Source organism: Homo sapiens, chromosome 8 (assembly GCF_000001405.40).
Source record: "Homo sapiens chromosome 8, GRCh38.p14 Primary Assembly".
Lineage (NCBI taxonomy): Eukaryota > Metazoa > Chordata > Mammalia > Primates > Hominidae > Homo > Homo sapiens.
The window spans coordinates 8087044-8114207 of record NC_000008.11 but is presented as its reverse complement, the minus strand read 5'-3'; the positions used below and the strand labels follow the sequence as shown (position 1 = coordinate 8114207).

At 41.3% G+C, this 27164-nt stretch overlaps 1 long non-coding RNA gene, 1 other non-coding gene and 1 pseudogene across 2 annotated transcripts in view; 2 read left to right on the top strand and 1 right to left on the bottom strand.

Moving 5' to 3' along the window:
- FAM85B (family with sequence similarity 85 member B) overlaps positions 1 to 13446 on the top strand; it is a 126742-nt gene extending 113296 nt beyond the window's left edge. Inside the window, exon 4 of the long non-coding RNA NR_147089.1 lies at positions 12990 to 13446. This is a non-coding gene — a long non-coding RNA (family with sequence similarity 85 member B). The remainder of the gene's footprint in view (positions 1 to 12989) is intronic.
- RPS3AP31 (RPS3A pseudogene 31) lies at positions 17438 to 18286 on the bottom strand (annotated as a pseudogene).
- On the top strand, positions 25119 to 25267 carry MIR548I3 (microRNA 548i-3). The gene has a single exon (NR_031689.1). It is a non-coding gene; the product is annotated as a microRNA 548i-3 (primary transcript).
- Positions 25268 to 27164: the final 1897 nt, after the last annotated feature.

Sequence of the window (27164 nt, the reverse complement as noted above, 5' to 3'; positions counted from 1 at the left end):
TCTGAGCTTATCATTTTAGCCTATCCCCCCTTACCAGTGACTGGCTCAAAACAAGTCTGTGATTCCATTCTGAATGTTCTACTGAGGGAATTCTCCCTTCTTCTCATGCAGAGTTGATGAGGACAAGTTGTATTAATAGGACATATGCTCAGGTTTTCTGAAAAATACTTTTATCTAGAAATGCATAGGAATATGCTGGTGCCTGAATGTACCATCCGGGGGCCTGGAGATTGACTCACCTGCCTCCAGAGCTAGTGCTCACCCTTACTACTGAGAGGCCTGAGGAAACACCTGCCTACCCACCACCAGAACCTGCACAGATCACCTGGAGAACTAGAGATCAGACTGCCACACACACCACCCAGGAGCCCAGTGGTGCACCTGCCCAACTGGCCCAGTGCTGCCACTGCCAGCAACCAAAGAAGCCACCTGGAGGCCCAGGGATTGGCCCATGCAGACAGGCTATCATCAGTGCCCATGTATACTGCCTGTGGTCCCTAGTATTGACAAACTTGGTCCACCACCACTACAACTGAGGCTGAAGGACAAGACTTCCTGGCATCCCCATCCTCAGCAAAGCCTCACCACAGCTTCCAATAACAACTGCATTCTGGCCAGGTGTGGTGGCTCACGCCTGTAATCCCAGCACTTTGAGAGGCCGAGGTGGGTAGATCACGAGGTCAGGAGTTTGAGACTAGCCTGGCCAACATGGTGACACCCCGTCTCTACTAAAAGTACAAAAATTAGCTGGGCATGGTTGCACGTGCCTGTAGTCCCAGCTACTCAAGAGGCTGAGGCAGGAGAATCATTTGAACCCAGGAGGCAGAGGTTGCAGTGAGCTGAGATTGCATCACTGAACTCCAGCCTGGTGATAGAGCTAGACTCCATCTCAACAACCACAAAAAAAAAAAAAAAAAAAAAACAAACAAAAACTACAGTCTAAGCCACTGAATGACTCACAGACACCACTCATCCAATTACAGCAGAAGAAATCATATGCAGATTATACCACTGTACCCACCCAGAATCAAAGCCAAACTGTGATATCCAATGAACATTGTAGATATAGCTATAAGAAAAGGTCTTTCCCATATAAAAGCCAATCCATAAAATTGGAAGCAGTGACTGTTATGTCAGAGGCACAGATAGTCACATAAGGATGCAAGAAATATGAAAAAGGAAACATAACATCTCCAAAGAAGCACAATAATTCTCCAGCAACAGATTCCAATGAAAAGAAAATCTATGAAATGCCTGAAAAAAATTCAGAATAATGTTATTGAAGAAACTCAGGGAGATACAAGAGAACACAGATAATGAATACAAAAAAATCAGGAAAACAATTCATGATCTGAATGAGAAATTCAACAGAGATAGACAGCGTAACACAGAAACAAACACAAATCCTGGAAGAGAATAAATCATTGAAAGAAATACAAAAGATAATTGAGAGCTTTAACAATAGACTAGATCAAGCAAAACAAAGAATTTCTGAACCTGAAGACTAGTCTTTTAAAATAATCCAGTCAGACAAAAAGAAAGAAAAAAGAATGAAGCAAAGCTACATGACATATGGGACACCTATGTGACCAAAAACTGAAATTCTGGGAGTTCTGGATGGAGATGAGATGGGTAAAGGCATAGCAAACCTATTTAATAAAATAATAACTGAAAACTTCCTGAAAGCTTCAAATACAGGAAGCTGAAAGATTACCAAATAAATACAACTCAAAAAGGTCTTCTCCAAGACACATTATGGTAAAATTGTCAAAAGACAAAGAGAAAATGCTAAAAACAGCAAGAGAAAAGCAACAAGTCACTTATAAGAGAATCCCCATCAGGCTAACGAGATTTCTCAGCAGAAACCTTACAGACTAGGAGAAAAGGGGATGTATACTACAAGTTAAAAAAAAAAAGTAAGCCAAAAATACTATACCCAGCAAAGCTATCCTTCACAAATGAAGGAGCCTGGCACAGTGGCTCACATCTGTAATTTCAGAGACTCATAAGGCTGAGGCAGGAGGATCATTTGAGCCCAAGAGTTCAAGGCTGCAGTGAGCTATGATCATGCCACTGTACTCCAGCCTGGGTGACAGAGTGAGACTCCATTGCTAAAAATAAATAAACAAATAAATAAAAGAGAAAAAAGTATTTCTCAGATAAGTAAAAGACTGTTTGTTTGGGTATTGTTTGTTGTGGTCATACAAGAAATGCTTAAGGGAGTCCTACATTGGGAAGAAAAAGAACAATATCTACCATCATGAAAACACATGAAAGTATAAAACTCACTGGTAGAGCAGACACACAAAGAAGAAAGGATTCAAACATCACCACTAAAGAGAGAAAATAGGAATAAAGGTGTATTAGTCTGTTTCCACACTGCTGATAAAGACATACCTGACTGAGACTGGGCAATTTACAAAAGAAAGAGGTTTAATGGACTTACACTTCCACATAGCTGAGGAAACCTCACAATCACGTTGGAAGGCAAGAAGAAGCAAGTCATGTCTCACATGGATGGTAGCAGGCAAAGAGAGAGCTTCTGCAGGGAAACTGCCCTTTTTAAAACAATCAGAACTTGTGAGACGTATTCACTATCATGAGAACAGCATGGGAAAGACCTGCCCCCATGACTAAATTGCTTCCCAACAGGTCCCTCCCACAACATGTGGGAATTCAAGATGAGATTTTGGTGGGGACAAAACCAAACCATATCATTCTGTCCCTGGCCCTTCCCAAGTCTCATATCCTCATATTTCAAAACCAATCATGCCTTCCCAACAGTCCCCCAAACTGTTAACTAAGTTCAGCATTAACTCAAAAGTCCACTGTCCAAAGTCTCATGTGAGACAAGCCAAATCCCTTCCACCTATGAGCACATAAAATCAAAAACATGTTAGTTACTTCCTAGATACAATGGGGGTATAGGCATTGGGTAAACACAGTCATTCCTAATGGGAGAAAATTGCCAAAACAAAGGGGCTACAGGTGCCATGCAAGCCCAAAATCCAGTGGGGCAGTCAAATCTCAAAGCTCCAAAATGATCTCCTTTGACTCCATGTCTCACATGCAGGTCATGCTGATGTAAGAAGTGGGCTCCCATGGCCTTGGGAGAAAAAAGGCCACAGCTCCACTCCTGTGGCTTTGTAGGGTATAAACCCCCTCCCAGCTCCTTCCATGGGTTGGCATTGAGTGTCTGCCGCTTTTCCAGGCACACAGTGCAAGCTGTCAGTGAATCCACTATTCTGGGGTCTGGAGGATGGTGGCCCTCTTCTCACAGCTCCACTAGGTGGCGCTGCAGTAGGGACTGTATGTGGGGGCTCCGACCCCACATTTCCCTTCCGCACTGCCCCAGTAGAGGTTCTCCATGAGTGCCCTGCCCCTGCAGCAAACTCCTGCCTGGACGTCTAGACATTTCCATACATCTTCTGATATCTAGGCAGTGGTTCCCAAACCTCAATTTTTGACTTCTGTGCACCCACAGGCTCAACACTATGTGGAAGCTGCTAAGGCTTGGGACTTGCACCCTCTGAAGCCACAGCCCACATTGTACCTAGGCACCTTTTAGCTGCAGCTGGAGTGGCTAGGACTCAGGCACCCTAGGCTGCTCACAGCAGGGGGGCCCTGGGTCCAGCACACAAAACCATCTTTTCTTCCCAGGCCTCTGGGCCTTTGATGGGAGGGGCTGCCATGAAGATCTGTGACATGCCCTGAAGACATTTTCCCCATTGTCTTGGGGATCCACATTTGACTCCTTGTTACCTAAACAAACTTCTGCAGCCAGATCGAATTTTTCTTGAGAAAATGGGATTTTCTTTTCTATTGCATGTTCAGGCTGCAAATTTTCCAAACTTTCATGCTCTGCTTCCCTTATAAAACTGAGGGCCTTTAACACACCCAAGTCATCTCTTGAATGCTTTGCTGCTTAGAAATTTCTTCTACCAGATACCCTAAATCATCTCTCTGAAGTTCAAAATTCCACAAATCTCTACAGCAGGGGCAAAAAGCCACCAGTCTCTTTGCTAAAACATAACAGGAGTCACCTTTGTGCCAGTTCCTGACAAGTTCCTCATTTCCGTCTGTGACAACCTAAGCCTAGACTTTATTGTCCATATAACCATCAGCATTTTGGGCAAGTCTCTAGGAAATCTCTTCCAAATTTTCCCACATTTTCCTGTCTCCTTCTGAGCCCTCCAAACTGTTCCAACCTCTGCCTGTTTCCCAGTTCCAAAGTCAGTTCCACATATTCAGGTATCTTTTAGCCACACCCCACTTCTGGTACTAATTTACTGTATTAGTCCATTTTCACACAGCTGATAAAGACACATTCAAGACTGGGAAATTTACAAAAGAAAGAGGTTTAATGGACTTACAATTCTACATTGCTGGGGAGGCTTCAAAATCATTGCAGAAGTCAAGGAGAGGAAAGTCACATCTTAAAGGGATGGCAGCAGGCAAAGAGAGAGATTAAGCAGGGAAACTACTCCTTTTAAAACCATCAGATCTCAAGAGACTTATTCACTATCAAAAGAATAGCATGGGAAATACCTGCCTCCATGATTCAACTACTTCCCACTGGATCCCTCCCACAACACATGGGAATTCAAGATGAGTTCTGAGTGGGGACACAGCCAAACCATATCAAAAGGATATACAAAATAACCAGAAAACAATGAACAAAATGACAGGAATAAGTCCTCACCTATCAATAATAACTTCAAATATGTGTTAAGTTAACTACCTAAAAGATAGAGGCAGGCTTAATGGACAAAAAATGACCCAACAACGTCTACAAGAAACTCATTTCACTTGTAAAGACACACACAGACTGAAAGTGAAGGGATTGAAAAAGATATACCACATAAACAGAAATCAAAAGTAACCAGGAGTAGCTAAACTTACATCAGATAAAACAGACTTTAAGTCAAAAACTGTAAAAAGGACAAAGAAGGTCATTATATGGTAATAAAGGGATCCATTCAGCAAGAAAGTATAAAAATTCTAAATATGCATGCAACCAACAAAAGCACATCCAGACACACATAGCAAATATTATTAAATCTACAGGGAGAGATAGAATCCAATACAATGATAGTTGAGAACTTCAATATCCTACTCTCAGCATTGGACAGTTCATCTAGACATAAAATCAACAAAGAAACATTAGATTTAAGCTGCACTTTAGACCAAATGGACCTAACAGATATTTTCAGAATATTTCATCCAGCAGCAGCAGAATATACAATCATCTCATCAACACATGGAACATTCTCCAGGATAGACCATATGTTAGGACACAAAACAAGGCTCAACAAAATTTTAAAAATTAAAATCATATCAAGTATCTTCTCAGACCAAAATGGAATAAAACTTGAAATCAATAAGAAGAAGAAATTTGGAAACTGTACAAATACATGGACATTAAACATGCTATCGAATGGTCATTGGATCAATGAAGAAACTAAGATGGACATCAAATTTTTTTTTTTAAACAGAAAATAGAAACACATCATGCAAAACCTATGGGATACAGCAAAAGCACTACTAGGAGGCAAGTTCATAGCAATAAATGCCTACACCAAAAAAGTAGAAAGATCTCAAATAAACAACCTAACGATGCACCTCAAGGAACTCCAAAAGCAAGAACAAACCAAACACACAATTAGTAGAAAGAAAAAAAAAATAACAGCAGAACCAAATGCAACAGAGACAAAAAAGAAATGCAAAGAATCAACAAGATAAAAGTTGTTTTTTTGAAAAGTTAAACAAAATTGATAAACCACTAGTGAGGCTAACCAAAAAAAAAGAAAGGAGACCCAAATAAATACAATCAGAAATGAAAAAGGAGACATTACAACTGTTACCAAAGAAATAAAAAGGATCATTAGAGGCTATTACGAACAACCATACCCTAACAAATTGGAAAACTTAGAGGAAAGGGATAAATTCCCAGACATACACAGCCTACCAAGATTGAACTAGGAAGAAAGAGAGAACCTGAACTGACTCAAAATGAATAGCAGGTTTGAATCAGTAACAAAAAGTCTCTCCAAAGAGAAAAGCCCTAGACTAGGCTTTTATACTGATTTCTACCCAGTTTATAAAGAAAAACAAACACCAATACTTCTCAAACTATTCCCAAAAATTGAAGAGGAGGGAATTCTTCCTAACTCATTGTATAAGGCCAGCATTACCCTGATATCCAATCAAGACAAGGACACAACAGAAAGAGAAAACTACAGGCCAATATTCCTAATGAACACAGATGGAAAAATTCTCAGCATAATACTACCAAGCCAAATCTAATGATGAATGAAAAAGATAATATACCATGATCAAGTGGGATTTATCCCAGGAATGCAAAGATGGCTCAACATCCAGAAATTAGTGCATGTGATACATCACATCAACAAGATGAAAGGCAAAAACTATCTGATCATCTCAGCAGATGCAGAAAAATCACTCAGTAAAACTTACCATTCCTTCATGATGAAAACTCTCAACAAGTTATGCATAGAAGGAACATTTCAACATAAGAAAAGCATATATGATTAATCTACAGCTAACATCCTACTCACTGGGAAAAATTGAAAAGCCTTTCCTCTAAGAACTGGAATAAGACAAGGATGCCCACTTTCACCACTCTTATTCAACACAGTATGGGACATCCAAGCCAAAGTGATCAGACAAGATAAACAAATAAAAGGCATCGAAAATGGACAAGAGGAAGTCAAATTGTCTCACTTTGCAGATGACATAATCTTATACTTGTAAACAGAAAAACCTAAAGACTCCACCAAAAAACTCTTAAAATGGGTAAATTAGGCTGGGCATGGTAGCTCATGCCTGTAATCCCAGCACATTGGGAGGCCAAGGTGGGCGAATCACCTGAGGTTGGGAGTTTGAGACCAGCCTGGCCAACATGGCGAAACCCTGTCTCTACAAAAAATACAATTAGCAAAGCATGGTGGTAGGTGCCTGTAATCCCAGCTACTTGGGAGGCTGAAGCAGGAGAATTGCTTGAACCCGAGAGGCGGAGGTTGCACTGAGCCAAGATTGCACCACTACACTCCAGCCTGGGCAACAGAGTGAGACTCTATCTCAAAAAATAAAAAATAAAAAATAAAAAAAATTTAAAAAGCAGATGTATAATTCAGTAAAGCTTCAGGTCACAAAATCAACCTAGAAAAATCAGTAATGTTTCTATATACCAGTAAGAAACTAGCTAAAATAGAAATCAAAGAAGAAATTCTATTTACAATAGCTACAAAAATAAAATACCTAGGAATAAACTTAACCAAGGAGGGGGAAAATAAACCAAAAAACCTCTGCAGTGAAAACCACAAAACATTGATAAAATAAATTGAGAAGGACAGGAACATATGGAAAGGCATCTCATACTCGTGGGTTGGAATAACTAATACTGTTAAAATGACCATGCTACTCGAAGCAGTTTAGAGATTTAGTATAATCCCTATCAATTATATTATTCACAGAAACAGGAAAAAAAAAGCCCTGAAATTCATATGGAACCACAGAAGACCCGAAATAGCCAAAGCAATACTGAGCAAAAAGAACAAAGCTAGAAGCCTCACACTACCTGATTTAAAAATATACTGCAAAGCGGCCGGGCGCGGTGGCTCATGCCTGTAATCCCAGCACTTTGGGAGGCTGAAGCGGGTGGATCACAAGGTCAGGAGATCGAGAACATCCTGGCTAACATGGTGAAACCCTGTCTCTACTAAAAAAAAAAAAAAAAAAAAATTACCAGGTGTGGTGATGGGTGCCTTTAGTCCCAGCTACTCGGGAGGCTGAGGCAGGAGAATGGCGTGAACCCTGGAGGCGGAGGCAGAGCTTGCAGTGAGCCAAGATCGTGCCACTGCACTCCAGCCTGGGCGACAGAGCAAGACTCCATCTCAAAAAACAAAACAAAACAAAAATATATATATATGTACTGCAAAGCTACAGTAACCAAAACAGCGTGTACTGGTATTAAAAAAGACACAAAAACAAAGGAAACAGACTAAGGAATCCAGAAATGAATCCACATATTTACAGCTAACTGATTTTCAAGAAAGCTGTCAAGAACATACATTGAATAAAGGATACCCTCTTCATTAAATGGTGCCAGGAAAACTAGATATCCAAACACAGAAGAATAAAACTAGACCCTTATCTCTCATCACTTACAAAAATAAACTCAAAATCAATTAAAGACTTAAATGTAACAGCCACAACTATAAAACTACTGGAAGTAAACACAGGAGAAAAGCTTGAGAACAAAGATTGTATGGCTAACACTTAAAAAGTACAAGCAACAAAAACAGACAAATGGGATTATATTAAACTAAATACCTTCTGCATATCAAAGAAAACAATCAACAGAGTGAAAAGACAACACCCCTCCCTTACACCATACACAAAAATTAACTCAAGATGGCTTAAAGACTTAAATTTAAAACCCATAACTATAAAAACGCTGGAAGACAACCTAGGCAATACCCTCCAGTACATAGTGATGGGCAAAGAGTTCATGGTAAAGATGCCAAACGCAATTGCCACAAAAGCAAAAATTGACAAATGGGATCTAATTAAATGAAAGAGCTTCTGCACAGCAAAAGAAACTATCAAAAAACAAACAGATATTTCTCAAAAGAAGATATACAAATCACCAAGTTTATGAAAAAATATTCAACATCACTAATCATCACGGAAATGCAAATCAAAACCACAATAAGATATCATCTCATACTTGTTAGAATGGCTATTATTAAAAAGACAAAGCACAACAAATGCTGGCAAGCATGTGAAGAAAAGAAAATTATTGTATATTGTTGGTGGGAATGTAAATTAGTACAGTCATTATGAAAAAAAGCACAGAGATTTCTCAAAAAAACTAAGAACAAATCTACCACGTGATCCAGCAATCCCACTCCTGGGTATACATCCAAAAAAAAGGATATCAGTGTATCAACGGGATATCTGTACCTCCATATTTACTGCAGCACTATTTACAATAGCCAAGATATGGAATCAATCTGAGTGTCAATCAATGGATGAATGGATAAAGAAAATGGGAATATACGCATAACAGAATAGTATTCAGCCTTAAAAAAGAATGAAATCCTGCCATTTTCAGCTAAATGGATGAAATTAAACGTCATAATGTTAGGTGAACTAGGCCATTCACAGAAAGAAAACTATTGCATGTTTTCACTTATGTGAGCGGTTTATGTTCCTGGAAATCAAAGTGGGGGCCACGTTTCAGGTCACTAGGGTCAGGGATAGAGACCACAGTTATGGACTTGTGTGCCCTGGAGCTATATAAAATTGATATCATAGAGATAAAGAGTAGAATGATAGTTAATAGAGGCTGGGAAGAGGAGGGGTTTGAAAAGAGGTTGATTAATGAATATAAAAATATATAATAGAAGGAATAAGTTCTAGTGTTCATTATCACAGAAAGTGACTACAACAATTTGTTGTGTATTTCTTTTTTTAATTTCAATAGTTTTTAGGGAACAGATGGTATTTGGTTACATGGATAAGTTCCTTAGTGGTGATCTCTGAAATTTTGGCATACCCATCACCAAAGCAGCTTACCCAATGTATAGTCTTTTCTCTCTCACTCCCTCCCACCTTCCCATTGAGCCCCCAAAGTCCACTGTTTCATTCTTGTGCCTTTGCATCATCATAGCTTAGCTCCCACTTACGAGTGAGAACATGCTATGTTTGGTTTTCCATTCCTGAGTTACTTCATTTAGAATAATGGTCAAATCCATCCAGGTTGCTATGCATGCCATTATTTTATTCCTTTTTAAGGCTAAGTAGTATTCTATGGTATACATATATATAACACATTTTCTTTATCCACTAATTGATTGATGGACATTTGTGCTGGTTCTATAGTTTTGCAACTGTGAATTCTGCTGCTGTAAACATGTGTGCAAATGTATCTTTTTCATATAATGACTTCTTTTCCTCTGGGTAGATACCTAGCAGTGGGATTGCTGGATGAAATGGTAGATGTACTTCTAGTTGTTTAAGGAATCTCCATACTGCTTTCCATAGTGGTGGTACTAGCTTACATTCCCACCATCAGTGTAAAAGCGTTGTCTTTCACCACATCCATGCCAACATCAACTTTTGTTTTTTTTGTTTTGTTTTGTTTTTTGGTTTTTTGAGATGGAGTCTCGCTCTGTAGCCCAGGCTGGAGTACAGTGGTGCCATATCAGCTCACTGCAACCTCTGCCTCCCGGGTTCAAGCAATTCTCCTGCCTCAGCCTCCTGAGTAGCTGGGATTACAGCCAACTGCCACAATGCTCGGCTAATTTTTGTATTTTCAGTAGAGACTGGGTTTCACCATGTTGGTCAGGCTGGTCTCAAACTCCTGATCTCGTGATCCGCCCACCTTGGCCTCCCAAAGTGCTAGGATTACAGGCGTGAGCCACCACGCCTCGCCCTCTTTTTGTTTCTTTTACACGTGGTATTGCATTGTGGTTTTGATTTGCATTTCCCTGGTAATTAGTGATGTTGAGCATTTTTTCATGTTTGTTGGCCATTTGTATATCTTCTTTTGAGAATTGTCTATTCATGTCCTTGGCACACTTTTTGATGAGATTCTTTTTTTCTTGCTGATTAGAGTTCCCTGTAGATTCTGCAAATTAGCCCTTTGTCAGATGCAGTTTGTGAAAATTTTCTCCCACTCTGTGGGTGATCTGTTTACTCTGCTGATTATTTCCTATGCTGTGCAGGAGGCTTTTAGTTTAATTAAAGTCCCATCTATTTATCTGTGTTTCTGTTGCATTTGCTTTTGGGTTCTTGGTCATAAACTCTTTGCCTAAGCCAATGTGTAGAAGCATTTTCCAATGTTATCTTCTAGAATTTTTATGGTTTCAGACCTTAGATTTAAGTCTTTGATCCATCTTGTGTTGATTTTTGTATAAGGTGAGAGATAAGGATCCAGTTTTATTCTTTTACATGTGGCTTGCCAATTATCCCAGCACTATTTGTTGTATAGGGTGTACTTTTCTTACTTTGGTTTTGTTTACTTTGTCGAAGATCAGTTGGCTGTTAAGTATTTGGCTTTATTTCTAGGTTCTCTACTCTGTCCCATTGGTCATGTGCCTATTTTTATACCAGCACCATGCAGTTTTGGTGACTATAGCTTTGTAATATAGTTTGAAGTTGGGTAATGTGATGCCTCTAGATTGGTTCTTTTTGCTTAGTTTTGCTTTGGCTTTGCAGACTCTTTTTTAGTTCCAAATGAATTTTGGCATTTTTTTTCTAGTTCTATAAAGAATGATGATGATACATTGATAGGAATTGCATTGAATTTGTAGACTGCTTTTGGCAGTATGGTCATTTTCACAATATTGAGTCTACCCATCCATGAACATGGGATGTGTTTCCATTTGTTTTTGTCATCTGTGATTTCTTTCAACAGTGTTTTGTAGTTTTCCTTGTAGGGGTCTTTCACCTCCTTGGTTAGGTATATTCCTAAGTATTTTATTTTTACAGCTATTATAAAAGGGTTTGATTTGATTCTCAGCCTGGTAGATGTTGGTGTATAGCACTGCTACTGATTTGTGTACATAGATTTTATATCCTGATAAATAGAATTATTATGTATTTCTAAATAACAATAAGATTTGAAATATTCCCAACACAAAGAAATGATCAATGTTTGAGGTGGTTAATATCCCAAAGACCCTGATTTGATCATTACACATTGCACGCATGTACCAGAATCTCACATGGACCCCATAAATGTGTACAATTATTCTCTATCGAAAACATTTTTTTTTAAAGAAACATGCAGGAATACACTGTACCTCTTCCTTGCTGTCTCTGGATATTGTCACATGAGGACTTGACATGCGGATTGTGGCAGCCTCTGTGACCAAGAGCAGAAGACAATAGCAGCATAGAAACCTCAAATGAAAAACCTAAAATCTCAAGCTACTAATTTAGCCAACCTTGGCATCAGCTATCTCTGATCTTAGTACATGAGATGATAAGCCCCCACTGTTCAAGTTGGGTGGCCATCAATTGCTGCAGAATAGAATTTAATGAGGCTTCCTCCTCCTGGATCCTCTACTAGACCCTGACATGCCCATTCAGTCACAGGCAGAAAGGGAAGCTCAGGGTAAGGAGACCTGGCTGACTGCCAGAAGCAGATCTTACCTGTCCTGCTTAGAACACTCAAAACTCAATTGGTTAAACAAAAAAAGGAAAAAGACAGTAAGGAGTATAGCACTCCCCAGATGCAACTTAATGAAACACTCTATACTTTAGATTTTCTAGACATACATAGAAATCAGACCACTACTTCTGCAGAACATTTTACTGGTAAAAAGAATAGCCCACATGAGGGAAAACTGATTTGGTGGAAAGACAACAAAAACAAAACATGGGAAATAGGTAAGGTGATAACATGGGGGGAGGTTTTGCTTGTGTTTCACCAGGAGAAAATCAGCTTCCTGTTTGGATACCCACTAGACATTTGAAGTTCCACAATGAACCCATCAGAGATGCAAATGAAAGTGCCTCTGCAGAGACAGAAAACCCGCAATCGAGCATCATCGACTCGCAGGGTGAACAAAATGTGATATCAGAAGAACAAATGAAGTTACAATCCACCAAGGAAATGGCACATGTGGAGAGCCAGGGAGAAGAAGAGAAAGAAAAAGAGACAGAGATCAGAGAAAGACACAGAAAGAGATTGGGGAGAGAAATAGTGTAAAAGAGAGAGAGAGAGACCGTAAGAGAAGAGAGACAAAGAGATAAAAGGTGCGAGTGAGCAGGTGAGGAGAAAGACTGAAAACTATGAGAAACAGCAACTAAGACACAAAGGAGGTGGGAGACTGCGTTGGTGCCGCAGCAGCCACACCGTCCTCTTGCCCCCGTCACTTGGGTTAAAACCACCGGAAATTCCACTATTGCAAATTTTTTATTAATCCTTGTATGTCTGTCCTTTCTATTTTTAGTCTACAGGTGTATCCAGCAGCTCCAGAGAGACAGCGACCAGCGAGAAGGGGCCATGATGATGGTGGTGGTTTTGTCAAAACGAAAAGGGGGATATGTAGGGAAAAGAAAGAGAGATCAGACTGTTACTGTGTCTACATAGAAAGGGAAGCCATAAGAGACTCCATTTTGAAAAAGACCTGTACTTTAAACAATTGCTTGCTGAGATGTTGTTTATCTGTAGCTTTGCCCCAGCCACTTTGCCCCAACCACTTTGACCCAATCTGGAGCTCACAAAAACATGTTTGTATGAAATCAAGGTTTAAGGCATGTAGGGCTGTGCAGGACGTGCCTTGTTAACCAAATATTTGGAAGCAGTATACTTGGTAAAAGTCATCACCATTCTCTCGTCTCAATAAACCAGGGGCACAATGCACTGTGGAAAGCCGCAGGGACCTCTGCCCTTGAAAGCTGGGTATTGTCCATGGTTTCTTCCCATGTGATAGTCTGAAATATGGCCTCATGGGATGAGAAAGACCTGACGGTCCCCCAGCTCGACACCCATAAAGTGTCTGTGCTGAGGTGGATTAGTCAAAGAGGAAAGCCTCTTGCAGTTGAGATAGAGGAAGGCCGCTGTCTCATGCTTGCCCCCTGGGAACTGAATGTCTCGGTATAAAACACTATTGTACATTTGTTCAATTCTGACATGGGAGAAAAACCACCCTATGGTGGGAGGCGAGACATGTTTACAGCAATGCTGCCTTGTTATTCTTTACTCCACTGAGATGTCTGGGTGCAGAGAAACATAAATCTGGCTTACATGCACGTCCAGTCATAGTACCTTCCCTTGAACTTCATTATGTCATAGATTCTATTGCTCACATGTTTGTTGCTGACCTTCTCCTTATTATCACCTTGCCCTCCTACTACATTCATTTTTGCTGAAATAATGAAGATAATAATCAATAAAAACTGAGGGAACTCAGAGAACGGTGCCAGTGCAGGTCCTTGGTATGCTAAGCGCCGGTCCCCTGGGCCCACTGTTGTTTCTCTATACTTTGTCTCTGTGTCTGATTTCTTTTCTGTCTCTCATCCCACCCGACAAGAAATACCCACAGGTGTGGAGGGGCAGGCCACCCCTTCATTATGAGATTACAGGCATGAATAACCCCACCTGGCCACCTAACTCACTCTTGAGAGGCCAGAAGTGATGCTGGAACTTTCTTCGTCTGTGGGTTAAAAAGGGAAAATTAGGGAGAACACAAGACATGAGAGATGCAGCGATGGATATGTCTATATGGAGCTTCTGTCTGCATCCAGTAGAAAATGCATTTCTAGGCACCAGGTTTAAGAGCGAAAACCTGGAGTCTTGTCTGTTAGCATTCTCCTTCCCCACAAACCAGAGAGGGAATACATTTGCTCCAGCACACCCGGATGTAGGAAATGTCACATTCCTATTTCTGTAACTTCACTTAAATCTGCTCTGAGTCCCTGGATGCCTGGCAGGTGGAGAATTCAATCTTGTCGTTACCAGCATTCCTTTCCCTTCTCCATGGGCTTATGTAAGAATTCTGGGCTTACACACTGTTGGAAAGCCAGGTAGGAACTACATCCCCTGAACTCTCCATTCTTCCACCTGCTCATGATCCATCAACATTCTTTGGGCCACCTGCTATAGCAAGACCCTACTCACAGCATCATTCCACTGACCCACAGGCTCAGCCCCAGGGACCCTCACTAGAACAGGTCTCCACTATGCATAGGAACTCACAAAAACCTTCTCTTCATCTTGGCTTCCTCTGATATCCAGCCACTCCCCCACTTCTCACCTTAAACACAGATGGCAGCTCCTTCCCATCCTTCCAAACCTGGGGGATTGTCCAGCCAAATTCTCTTCAGACACCAAAGCTTCACCCGCCCTCTTTAGGGAGGTGCTGCAAGGGCATCTGAGATCTTTGGAAGCCCAATTCTGGCCTCTCTTTGGGGTGGGCTGAGAGTGGGAAGTAGACTGTCTTTTCCAAATGCCATGTGTATCTTGTTCATCATTATATTATCTCCAATGCCTGACACATAGTAGGCACTACAGACTGGCACATAGTAGGTGCTATTAGTGTCTGTATAATGGGACTCTTGAGGTTGAAGCTATTAGCAGGAACCTGCCAGGCAAAAGGATGGAAAACCAACCACCAAAAAAAAAAAAAAAAAAAAAAAAAAAAAGAAAACAATCGTGGCTTTGAGCTCTAAACACACAAGGCACCAACCCAAGTTTGGGCAATTTTAATACAACAGCCATTTTGCCTCCAAACAAACTGACACTGGGAACCTCCCTCTGCCTCTAAAAGAGAACCAGTTTCCCTTTCTCTAAGTGGGCAGCATTTCTCCCCTGTGGCAGTACCCAGCCCACTACCACCAGCAAAGGACTGCAGCCAGGACCCAAGAGCTTGAGAGTTTAAAGAATAGATTTTATACGGAAAAATAAAGTAACATCCACATAAATCTGGAACTACCACCACTTTCCAGAGGCCGAATCCCATTTGTGGAATCTCTTGCGTGTCAAGCACCTTGCAGTCAGCTCAACTACACACTTTTGGGATTCGTTGCAGACACGAGAGAAGGTTATCAGCAAAATAAAGGAACCAGGGCTCAGAATTACCAGAACAATCCATGACAGAGGAGGTGAGTAGGAAAGGGAAGGGTGAAGTCAAAGGAGAGAAGTCAATGAGTTGGCCAACACCAAACAAGGATCATGGGACCCTCTCCACGACCCCACATCTCAAATGAAGTCAACAAAACCCATCAATGCTTGGTGTAATTGTTGTATGCTCCCGGAAATGAAAGCAGGGGCCACATTTCAGGTCAGTAGGGTCGGTGGTAGAGGCAGCGGTCATGGACTTGTGGGCCCTGGAGGATGGGATGATTCTGAGACATTGAATCCCTGCACTGATCTCAGTTGAAATCTCAGGTAGGGCTTCAACATTCGTGGACCAAGGACTCTGTGGGCCTGAGAGCAACAGCCTTGGTGCATGTCCCAGCTCCATCAATCCCAACTGGGGCTTTGAACAAGTTACTTATTTTTTTAACTAAAGTTATTTTAATTGACAAATCAAAATTGTACACATGTATGTGATGTTTTGATATGTGTATACAATGTGGGATGATTAGATCAAACTAATGAACACGTCCATCCCCTAATTTACTGACAATTTTCATGATGCGACATTTGAAATGTACCCACTTAGTTATTTTGAAAGATACATTATTATTTACTATAGTCACGCTACTGTGCTATAGATTTCAAAGCATATAATCCAGCAACCCAACTTCTGGATATAGACCAAAAAAAAATCAAAATCAATATGTCGAAGGGATCCCTACATTCCTATGTTCACTGCAGCACTATTCACAATACCCAAGATATAGAATCAACCTAAGTGTCCATTAGTGGATGAAAAGATAAAGCAAATGGACTATATACACACAACGGAATACTATTAACCCTTAAAAAAGAAAGAATTCCTGTCATTTTCAACAACATAGATGAATTTGAAAGACATTGTGTTAAGTGAAATAAGCCAGGCACAGAAAGACAAATACTGCATGATTTTACTTATATGTGGAATCTAAAGAAGTAGAACTCACAGAAATAGAGAGTAGGACAGTGGTTATCTGGGGATGGGGTGAAGGAAAGGGAGGGGATTGGAGACACTGGTCAAAGGGTACAAAGTTTCCAATAGGAAGAATAAGTTTTGAACAAGCTAAACTCCTCTGAAAGTTCAGTTCCTCATCTGTAGAGCAGGGACACATCATCAACCTTCTACGGATGTTGCTGTAAGAGTAAGAGATGATGTTCAACACAATACCTAACACACAGTCAGGTCTCCTTAAGCTTGAACCTGCATCCCCATGACCTCTACATCTCAGGACAGAAGGGCTCACAGCCAGTGTCTCAGTTCCCAATGAAAAGTGGATCCCAGACCAGGCTGAACAGCAGGATCCCTAGGGGATACCCCACCCTACTGAGTCAAAATCACTAGAAGTAGAGCCTGGGTATGTATGTATGTGTGTGTATATATATGTGTGTGTGTGTGTGTGTGTGTGTTTGTGTGTGTATGTATAAGAGACAGGGTCTTGCTCTCAAGTCCAGGCTGGAGTGCAGTGTCACAATCATAGTTCACTGCAGCCTCAAATTACTCCTGGCCTCAAGCCATCCTCCCATCTCAGCCTTCAGAGTAGCTGAGACTACAGGCACATGCCACCAAGCCCGGATACTTATTTTTTTTTTCTTCTTTTTGTAGAGTCTCACTCTGTTGCACAGGCTGGAGTGCAATGGTGCAATCTTGGCTCACTGCAACCTCTGTCTCCCGGGTTCAAGTAATTCTCGTGCCTCAGCCTCCTGAGTAGCTAGGATTACAGGCATGCACCACCACACCAGGCTAATTTTGCTCTTTCATTGTTGTTTCTTGTTTGTTTTTCACAAATAGGACTTCTTATTTGCTACTGTTTTAAGTCTGAACTTTAAACAGATTCTTGGACTGATGGTTCATATCCATCAGCTCATTCAACTTTAGCACGCATCTCGTCCCTAGTGGGTTTTCCAGAATCACCACCATCACCAGGAAGCTCTATTCCTTTCAAATCCAGGGTTCTCCAGCATTTTTACTTTTCTAATGAAGACATCATGGAGAGGATAGATTGGCAAGCCTTTTCTACATCTTTTCCAATGTTGTCTGGAATCAATTTATTAACCACTTCTTTCAAGTCATTTGTCTGCACCTCTCAGGTCATGATTTCCATCATCTTCTTCTGGATTTGGCAGACTGTTGGTGCTGAGCATAAGAGGTCTTCAGTATCTGATTGTTGTGTTTTTTAGTAAAACCAACACAAAACAGAAGAAAGAAGTAACCATCGGTAGTCTTGACATCAACATGAGCTTCAATTATTGTTGAACATTTTTCAACCTTGGAATATATTTTGTCACAGGTAATACCCATGCCATTGAAGTTAGTCAGGCAGCTTTTGCCCTGAACATCTTCAGTAATCAGCTTGAATTTTCTAAATGCAACTTCATCATTCTGCAAATCAGCAAGACTCATTTCAAACACTAGAAACTTGAGACCATCAGATGCAATTTGGGTTCCTTTGGTCCTGGTGACCAAGTCTTTCCAATATTTCTTATATTGAACATAGCAGGTGCTTTCACATCATACTGATCTTTCTTAGAGAATGGACCAACTACTTTCTTCTTAACTCCCTTTTTGCCACCTTTCATAAGGCACTTGTTCTTAACAACCGCCATGGTGCTGCTTAGAGTACCAAAAGGTTAAATTTTATAGTTTTGGTAGAGACGGGATTTCACCATGTTGGCCAAGCTCGTCTTGAATTGATGTCAGGTGATCTGCCTGCCTCAGCCTCCCAAAGTGCTGGGATTACAGGTGTGAGCCACTGTACCCAGCTGATATTTATTTTTTCTTTTTTTGTACAGACAGGGTCTTGCCATGTTGCCAAGGCTGGCCTGGAACTCTTGGCCTCAAGCAATCCTCCCACTGCAGCCTCCCAAAGCACTGGGATTTCAGGTGTGAGCCACCATGCCCAGCCTGGAATCTATTTTTAAAGCAATCAAGTGTTGAATAAAATTGCAACTTGGGCTGTTTTTTCTTTGCATTTTTTACATTTCAATGGTTTTTAATATATTCAGAGATATACGCAAACATTACCAGTCAATTTTAGAACATTTCATGACCTCAAAAAGAAACCTCATACCATTTAGCTAACACCCCCATCCTCCCATGCCCCTACCAGCCCTAAGCAACCACTAATCGACTTCCTATTTCTATAGATTTCCATCTGAATGAAATCATGTAGAATGTGATCTTTCATCTGTTTTGAAGGTTTATCCACGCTGTAGCATATGTACATTCCTCCTTTTTGTGATCAAATAATATTCCACCATGTGTGTAGACAACAATCGGTGTCTCTCTTCATCTGGTGATGGGCATTTGGATTAATTCCCTCTTTGTGTTATTAAGAGTGATGCTACTGTAATTATTCATGTACAAATTTTTGTGTGGACCTGTGCTTTCATTTTTGAATATGAAAATATGGCACATCTCCAAGGAAGACATACAAGTGGCCAATAAGCACATGAAAAGATGCTCAATGAAATTCTTCATCAGGGAAACAGAAATCAAAACCGCAATGAGATACCACTTCACACCCATAAGGATGGCTAGAATCGAAGATAGAGAAAATTGGCCTGGTGCGGTGGCTAATGACTGTAATACCAGCACTTTGGGAGACCGAGGCAGGTGGATCACCTGAGGCCAGGAGTTTGAGACCATCCTGGCCAACATGGTGAAACCCTGTCTCTACTAAAAAAATACAAAAATTAGCCAGGCATGCTGGCAGGTGACTATAATACCAGCTACTCGGGAGGCTGAGGCAGGAGAGTAACTTGAATCTGGGAGGCAGAGGTTGCAGTGAGCTGAGATTGTGCCACTGCACTCCAGCCTGGGCTACAGAGCAAGACTTTGTCTCAAAAAAAAAAAAAATACAGAAAATAACAAGTGTTGGTGAGGATGCAGAGAAACTAGAACTTTCATACACTGCTGGTAGGAATTAAAATAGTGTAGCCACTGTGAGAAACAGTTTAACAGCTTCCCAAACAATTCTACATGGAGTTACCAAATGACCCAGCAATTGTACTTCTAGGTATAGGCCCAACTTGGGCTCTTTTAATCTATGGAAAATGAACTATCGGTACTTGGCAAGAACAAAGAGGGAGAGAGGCAGAAATGGAGCCACGAGGGCACATTGATTGGTCTGTAGTACACAGGGCTCCTACTGCAAATGGTCTCTAAATGACTTCATCAGTTGCTCATAAAAAAAAATCATCCTCTGCTCCAATCATGGAGGAAAAAGTATGGATTGGACCTGGTGAGCCACGGTAAGACTGACTGCTAAACTTCATGAATGATGAGGGGATTTGCACGTATAATCTTGACTGTACTAGATTTTTTATTTTATCCACTGTCTTTGAAAACCTAACTCTTGACTAAGAACTAACTTTCCTGTACTTGTTGTTGAGTCTAAGTAAACTTCCAATTCCACATAGTCCAAAGATGATGTGTTGAGAAATCTCTCAAAAGAAAAATGCTAAGAATACAGGCAGAGTTATGCGGCAAGTTTTGCAGAATTAACACAAATTGTATTGTAGGTATGAAGCACAGAACATTTTCATGGGTAAAGAAAAAAGTGTTCTTCATTCTAGTAGACACTGCAGGATGAGGCCGATCAAGGTCCTTGCCCAGCCAGACCTTGGGCTCTTACCTAATTTGTGTTAGAGTCAACCCTGATGGAGTCTGTATCTCAGTCATCTTTTTTTTTGACATGGAATCTCACTGTCTCCCAGGCTGGAATGCAGCGGTGTGATCTTAGCTCACTGCAACATCTGCCTCCTGGGTTCAAGCGATTCTCCTGCCTCAGCTTCCCAAGTAGATGGGACTACATATGCATGCCACCATGCCTGGCTAATTTTTGTACTTTTAGTAGAGACGTTTCATCATGTTGGCCAGGCTGTGCTCAAACTCCTGCCCTCAAGTGATCCGCCTGCCTTGGCCTCCCAAAGTGCTGGGATTACAGGCATGAGCCACCATGTCCGATCTCAGTCATCTTTTTATCCTCCATACCTGGCAAGTTCTAGACACACTGTGGTTCCATACAAGTTTGTTGAATAAATAGGAGACAGATAGAAAGTGGGAACTCTGCAAGTAGAGAAGATTCCAGAAATTGTGCATATTTCCCAGAGACTGTGGCCAAATTCCTCAGTCCTGCCAGAGTTTCTCTATCTCAACTCAAACCTTATGTGTGGGCCCAGGCGCAGTGGCTCACACCTGTAATCCCAACAATTTAGGAGGCTGAGGTGCGCAGATCACTTGAGGCCAGGAGTTTGAAACCAGCCTGGCCAACATGGTGAAACCCCCTCTCTACTAAAAATACAAAAATTACCCAGGCATGGTGGTGTGCACCTGTAGTCCCTGCTACTCGGGGGGCTGAGGCACAAGCATTGCTTGAACCCAGGAGGCGGAGGTTGCAGTGAGTCACGATTATGCCACTGTATTCTAGCCTAGGCAATAAAGCAAGACTGTCCCAAAAGAAAAAAAAAAAAACCCTTAAGTGTGGGCCTTGTTACAGAATTAACGTTTATATGGACAATATGTACATGGGTGTATGTTAAGAGCATGAGTCATCCACAAGATTTTAGCAAAGTCCATTTAGAAAGCTCAATGCTTTGGGCTTCCACTTGCTTTGCTGCCTCTGTCCTCAGAAGGAGGCTTCATCCTTCCATATAATCAGCAAATCCTTTATGCAGAGATGTACACAACACACTCCTCTCCTTGGCTATGACACCTTGAAAGGGTCCTCTTGGTGTCCCCTGGTGCTCATTTCAGAGTAGTTCAAATTAAGGTGATCAGCTTTCATGCCAATCACTCTACAAATCACTCCTATTATGACCAATTTTTCTAAATGGTTTATTGAATTATTACTTAAAGAAATGTGCACATAGAAGAGGTCAACACAGTACTTTCCTTACAAACTGAACATACTGGCCAGACGCAGTGGCTCATGCCTGTCATCCCAGCACTTTGGGAGGCCGAGGTGAGCAGATTGCTTGAGCCCAGGAGCTCAAGACCAGCCTGGGCAACATAGTGATACACCCCTCTCTACAAAAAATAAATAAATACAAAAATTCAGCAACAGTGATGGCACATGCCTGTAGTTCCAGCTATTCAGGAGGGCTGAGGTGGGAGGACTGCTTGAGCCCAGGAGGCAGAGGCTGCAGTGGGCCATGACGGTGCCACTGTTCTCCAGCCTCGGTGACAGAGCAAGATCCTGCCTCAAAAAAACAACAACAACAACAACAAAAAACTGAACATCTCCATATTACTGACACCCAATTCAAGAAACAAAATATTCCAGCCCCTTCCAGGATATTCCTGGGGTCTTTTCCATCTCTATTAACCCCTGACTACAAACAGCCTCCACCTATTTCACCTGACATTGTACTTTATGAAAGCAGCAGTTCTCAGATGGGGCTATTTTGTCCCCTGGGGACATTAGGCAATATCTAGAGACACTGGGGTTTGTCTCTACTTGGGGGGAGTTGTGTTACTGCATCCAGTGAGTCCAGGGATCCAGGGATGCCGCTCAACATCCTGAAATGCACAGGGAACCCCCACACATAAAACAGAGAAACTGCTGAGCCAAAATGCCAGCAGTGTCACAGCTAACACCCTGACATACACACTATCGCACAGTATCTGCTCTTTTGTGCTCAGGATCTCTTTCATTCTAATCATCTCATAGGAAACGGAAATGTTATTAGGAGGTAGGTAGAGTCCAAAACAAAGAAGATCCAGAGTTTTTTTTTTTTTTTTTTTTAATCAGCCTGGTGCCTTTAGAGCTAGGATTTAGTTTCCATTCTTTCTATCTCATTTTCAAGTGATTTTTCTTCAAATGGCATCTGCTGGGCTCAAGATCCGGAAATCCCCACAAAGCTGAGATTCACATGGGAATTTTGTACACACCCACACAGGTATACACTGCCATTTGCATGCAGACATCCACCCACAGATACACACATCCGGAGACCAAGACAGAAAGCAAACTCCAACATAAAAGCACGGTTTCCCGAACTGGAGAAACCCACCATTCATTCCAGGGAGGTACCTATTTGTTTAATTCAGCCTCTGATAGTCAGGCTGTTGCCAAGCCCAGTTCTGAAACTCTTCCCTTCTAGGAAAGAGAGATGGATTTTTTTCTTTACTCAAGAATATAGATCTAAAAAAAGCAAACACTTCTGCATCTCAAAGCAGGCTCTACCTCCTGAGCTACACATATTGATCAGCATTTTATTGTCAACTTTCTTTTATTTGAATTGGAGAAAAATATAACTTAATTATGTTCTTACTGACAGTTTGGAATCAGGTACACTAAATCCAATTCTCTGGGTTCTCGTGATTAATGTGTTTAATTTGGGGGACAACAAAGCAAAAGCATTGGTCGTGTTTTAATATAAATAGTACAGGATATATCTAAGGGGTTGAAGTATCACTGTAGCAAGAAGCTCATTCTGCAGTAAAAGGCAGGTTCTGCCACTAGGATTGAGTTAGGGTGGTTCATGGCTGCACCGTTTTATCAATGTCTCTTCAAGAGTCCATGGAATGTGGAATGGGAAAGACTGAAATAGTCCAAGTCTTGGCTAAGCTTCTATTAAGGGGTGTTAGGAGCTGATAAAATAACCTGGTCTTTAAAGACATCCCACACAGTAGTTCTCTAAGCTACAGATTCTCAGATTTTTCTATTTTATAAACGGGTAAAATTTGTTTTTTTAATTTGAGAACCAACATAAGGTTGCTATTTTCTTTTTCTTTTTGGTAAGAAGGAAATTTTTTAAACTACCAGTTACACACACAAACACACACACACACACACACACACACACACACGGAATTTCCACCATGATTGGTCAGAATAGGTGAGGTTTTGCTGCAATAACAAACAACTCCTAAATCTTGGTAACTTCAAACATCAGAAGTTGTGTTTCTTACTCATGCTACATCTGCAGGGAGGTGTGGGGTGCTCTGTTTCCCATCAAACTTTCCCTAAGAGTAAGGCTAATGGGGGTTGCAATACCTCGAGTATCACCAAGCAGGGAACAGAGGGAGAAGAATGCTAGAGAGCCTTGTACTAAGAATTAAATGCTTCGGGCTAGAAGTCTAACACTGCACCTCTGCCCCCAGCCTCTTGGCCAGTACTAGCCACATCCCTTCCCCCACCACACTGCAATGCATGGAGACAGGAGAATTGGATACATTACAAATTTCTACCCCATGGCATTTCATAAAAGAGAAAAAAATGCAAATACAAAAATGTTTTAATAGAATAGAATATATACATTTTTAGAATAAAGAAAAATCCTCCAAAAAGGACAGCTGGTGGTCTTTCACCAATGGGCACATGTCTGTGACATTTTCTCTGTTTTTCCATCTTATCCTTGACCTATGAATATTTTATACAGATGGTCCAAAGAACACAATTTGGGAACCACTGCTCTTATCAGGTGACGAAAACGGCCCCAAGAACAGAGCAGAGTCTCTTTAGCAAAGACCCAGCAGGGCCAGGGTGACCACGTTCTCACCATCAATGTGCAGACATCCACCTGCAGCATACTTACAAACCAACATCAAACAGTGGCTCTTTATAGCTTGATTCTAATGCCCTTTGATCTTCATACTCATTGTAAAGCTCTCTGGCCCCAAGATCTAACATCGCCACTCTAGCTACGTCCTGCAACTGTTCACCTCTCCTGACTCCTCATCCCTCTAAACTTCTCTTCACAACCTCATGTTTCCTTCTTGCTATACATTCCTGCTCAGCCTGGACTTAACAGTTACCTTCCTCTTGTAATGTGCTCCTAAACTCGTTCTTCCCTGCCTTCAACCACACCCACCTGGAAAATCTCCATACCCCATTGATGACTTGCCTCGCAACTGACCAAGGGCTGCTGAATGATACTGGAAAGAATCACAACAGGGATCTCGTAGTTCCACTAAATAATCTCACCGTCCAACTCTAGGAAAGACTTCACTTCTGTTCAGCAATATTTTTAAGCATCGCAAATAAATTCCAAACCATATTTGCCATAACAATTGACTTTAAGCCTCTTCCATATCTCAAAAACCCCCAAACCCATCCCTAGGGGTGAAAAGAGCCCAGAGCTGAGTTCTCTCAACTCACTTCCATCTCACCCCTAGATCACTGTATCTTGACCCTCTTCCTCTGCCTTTCCCATCTTATAAGGAGAAACATCCTTCTCCTTTCCCAAGCTACCTTCCCCACTTGTGCCTCATTTGAGACCTCCCTTTATCACCCGTTCCCTTGGAACTCCCATGACTCACCACCTTCACTTGTCATTTCACTCATAAATATTTTGCACCATGTATGTGCCAGGCATTTAACATATAGTCATGCTTAAGTCTCCACATGCTAATAAGAAAAACCTTGATTATCCCTGCTATGCCCTCAAGTCATTACCCTCCCCGCTCCTTTCCTGTGTTCCCAAACTTTGTTGATCTTCATCAATCCCTCTGATGCAGATGGCTCCGAAGTTTACATCCTATTAGGTTTGTGCAAAAGTAATTGCGGATTTTGCCATTAAAAGTAATGGCAAAAATAGCAATTATTTTTGTACCAGCCTAGTATCTTTTCTCCTTCTACCAAACTTTGTCCCTGAGCCATCTCATCACCTATAACTACCTCCTCCATGCAGTTGATTCCCAGATCTGTATTATTCTACTGAAAGTCCATTCCCCAACTTTCTCAGCTAGAATAACAGAAGCCCAATTAGAATTCATGATAACAGTTTCCCACCACCACCACCACCACCACCTTCGCCCTGCCATTGTTAGCAAAACCATCTCTTGAGTGGAGCTCAAAGATTTGTAATCTCCCACTCCCCAGAAAGATAACTTCAGACTCAGCCTAGAAGTAAAGATCCTCCAGATATGGCCTCAACTACCCTCCAACCCATGTCCTCAGTGCATCCCTCTGATGCCCCCTTCAGTGGAGTTAAAATGGAGTGAGTGTTTTTCTTTTCACATACTCCTGGTGTTCTTCCACAAATACAATTTTCACCTCTTGAATATTTTCAAAGATTCTGCATGCTACACACAGTGAAATCCAAACTCCCCATCAGGACCCCCGTCTTCCCAAACCCTCTTTGCAGTTTTCTGCCTCCACGCTTTTCCTTGGGTCATCCTCTTCTCTAATGTAACCTTGTGTATTACTCTAAGTTCTCCAGAGAAAGAGCAGAGAGATAGAGTTAGATCTATACACATAGAGACAGATTGATTTGTTGTAAAGGATGGCTCACATGGTTATGGAGGCTAAGGAGTCCTGGAGTCTGCAGCCAGCAAGCTGGGGACCCAAGACAGCCAATGATATTGTTCCAACTCGAGTCCACATCTAAAGTCAGGAGAAGATTGATGTCCCAGCTCAAATATAATCAGGTAAAAAGAGCAAATTCTCTCTGACTCTACCTTTTTGTTTTGTTCAGGCCTTCAGTGGATTGGATGAGGCTCACCCATATTGGGGAGGACAATCTGCTTTATTCAGTCTACCAATTAAATGTTATCCTCATCCAGAATACCTCAGAGACACACCCAGAATAATGTGTAACCAAATATCTGGGCACCCCACAACCCAGTCAAATTGATACATACCGTTAACCATCATGTCTTGTTTCTACTCTCTCCCCATTACTGGATGGCCAAATCCTTCCCTTATTTCAAGGCTTAGTTCAAATGTTACCTCTTAACTATGCCTTCCCTGCTAACCCCAAATATTAATAGAATTGGTTTCCCCCTTCTCTGATATCTCAAAATATGTTGTGTGTTTCTCTTTTACTGTATTTATTACAAACTCCCTTATAAATGAAGACAGTGATTCCCAGACAAATTATCACAAGAGTATAAAAGAAGTCTTCTTTGAGTGTGAAATATCTCATGGAATATAGCACATGGCCTCATCATGAAGAAACTACTGGGAGAGAAAAAGACAAGCTGGAAGAGGCCAGGGAGAGGGGGTCAGTACAAAGCACAATGAGGCTGGGCTCATACAGTTGCTCACACCTGTAATCCTAGCACTTTGGGAGGCCAAGGCCAGTGGATCACGAGATCAGGAGATCGAGACCATCCTGGCTAACATAGTGAAATCCCGTCTCTACTAAAAATACAAAAAAGTTAGCCAGGCATGGAGGTAGGCCCCTGTAGTCCCAGCTACTCGGGAGGCTGAGGCAGGAGAATGGTGTGAACCCGGCAGGCAGAGCTTGCAGTGAGCCAAGATCGCACCACTGCACTCAAGCCTGGGTGACAGAGCAAGACTCCATGTCAAAAAAAAAAAAAAAAAAAAAAAAAAAAAAAGCCCAGTGAAATGTCAGTGGATGGGTGCCTATAATTTCTAAGGGAAATAGAGTATAATCCAAGAATTTTATAGCCAGCTAAATTATTGCCCAATCAAAATAGGCAATAGACACTATCACAAGTTCAAGAACTTAAAGAATACAGTATTTCTGAGCTCTTTAAAAAAAAAAAGTCTTCATAATAAAATTTAGTCAGCCAAGAAATTAAAAAATAAGCAAC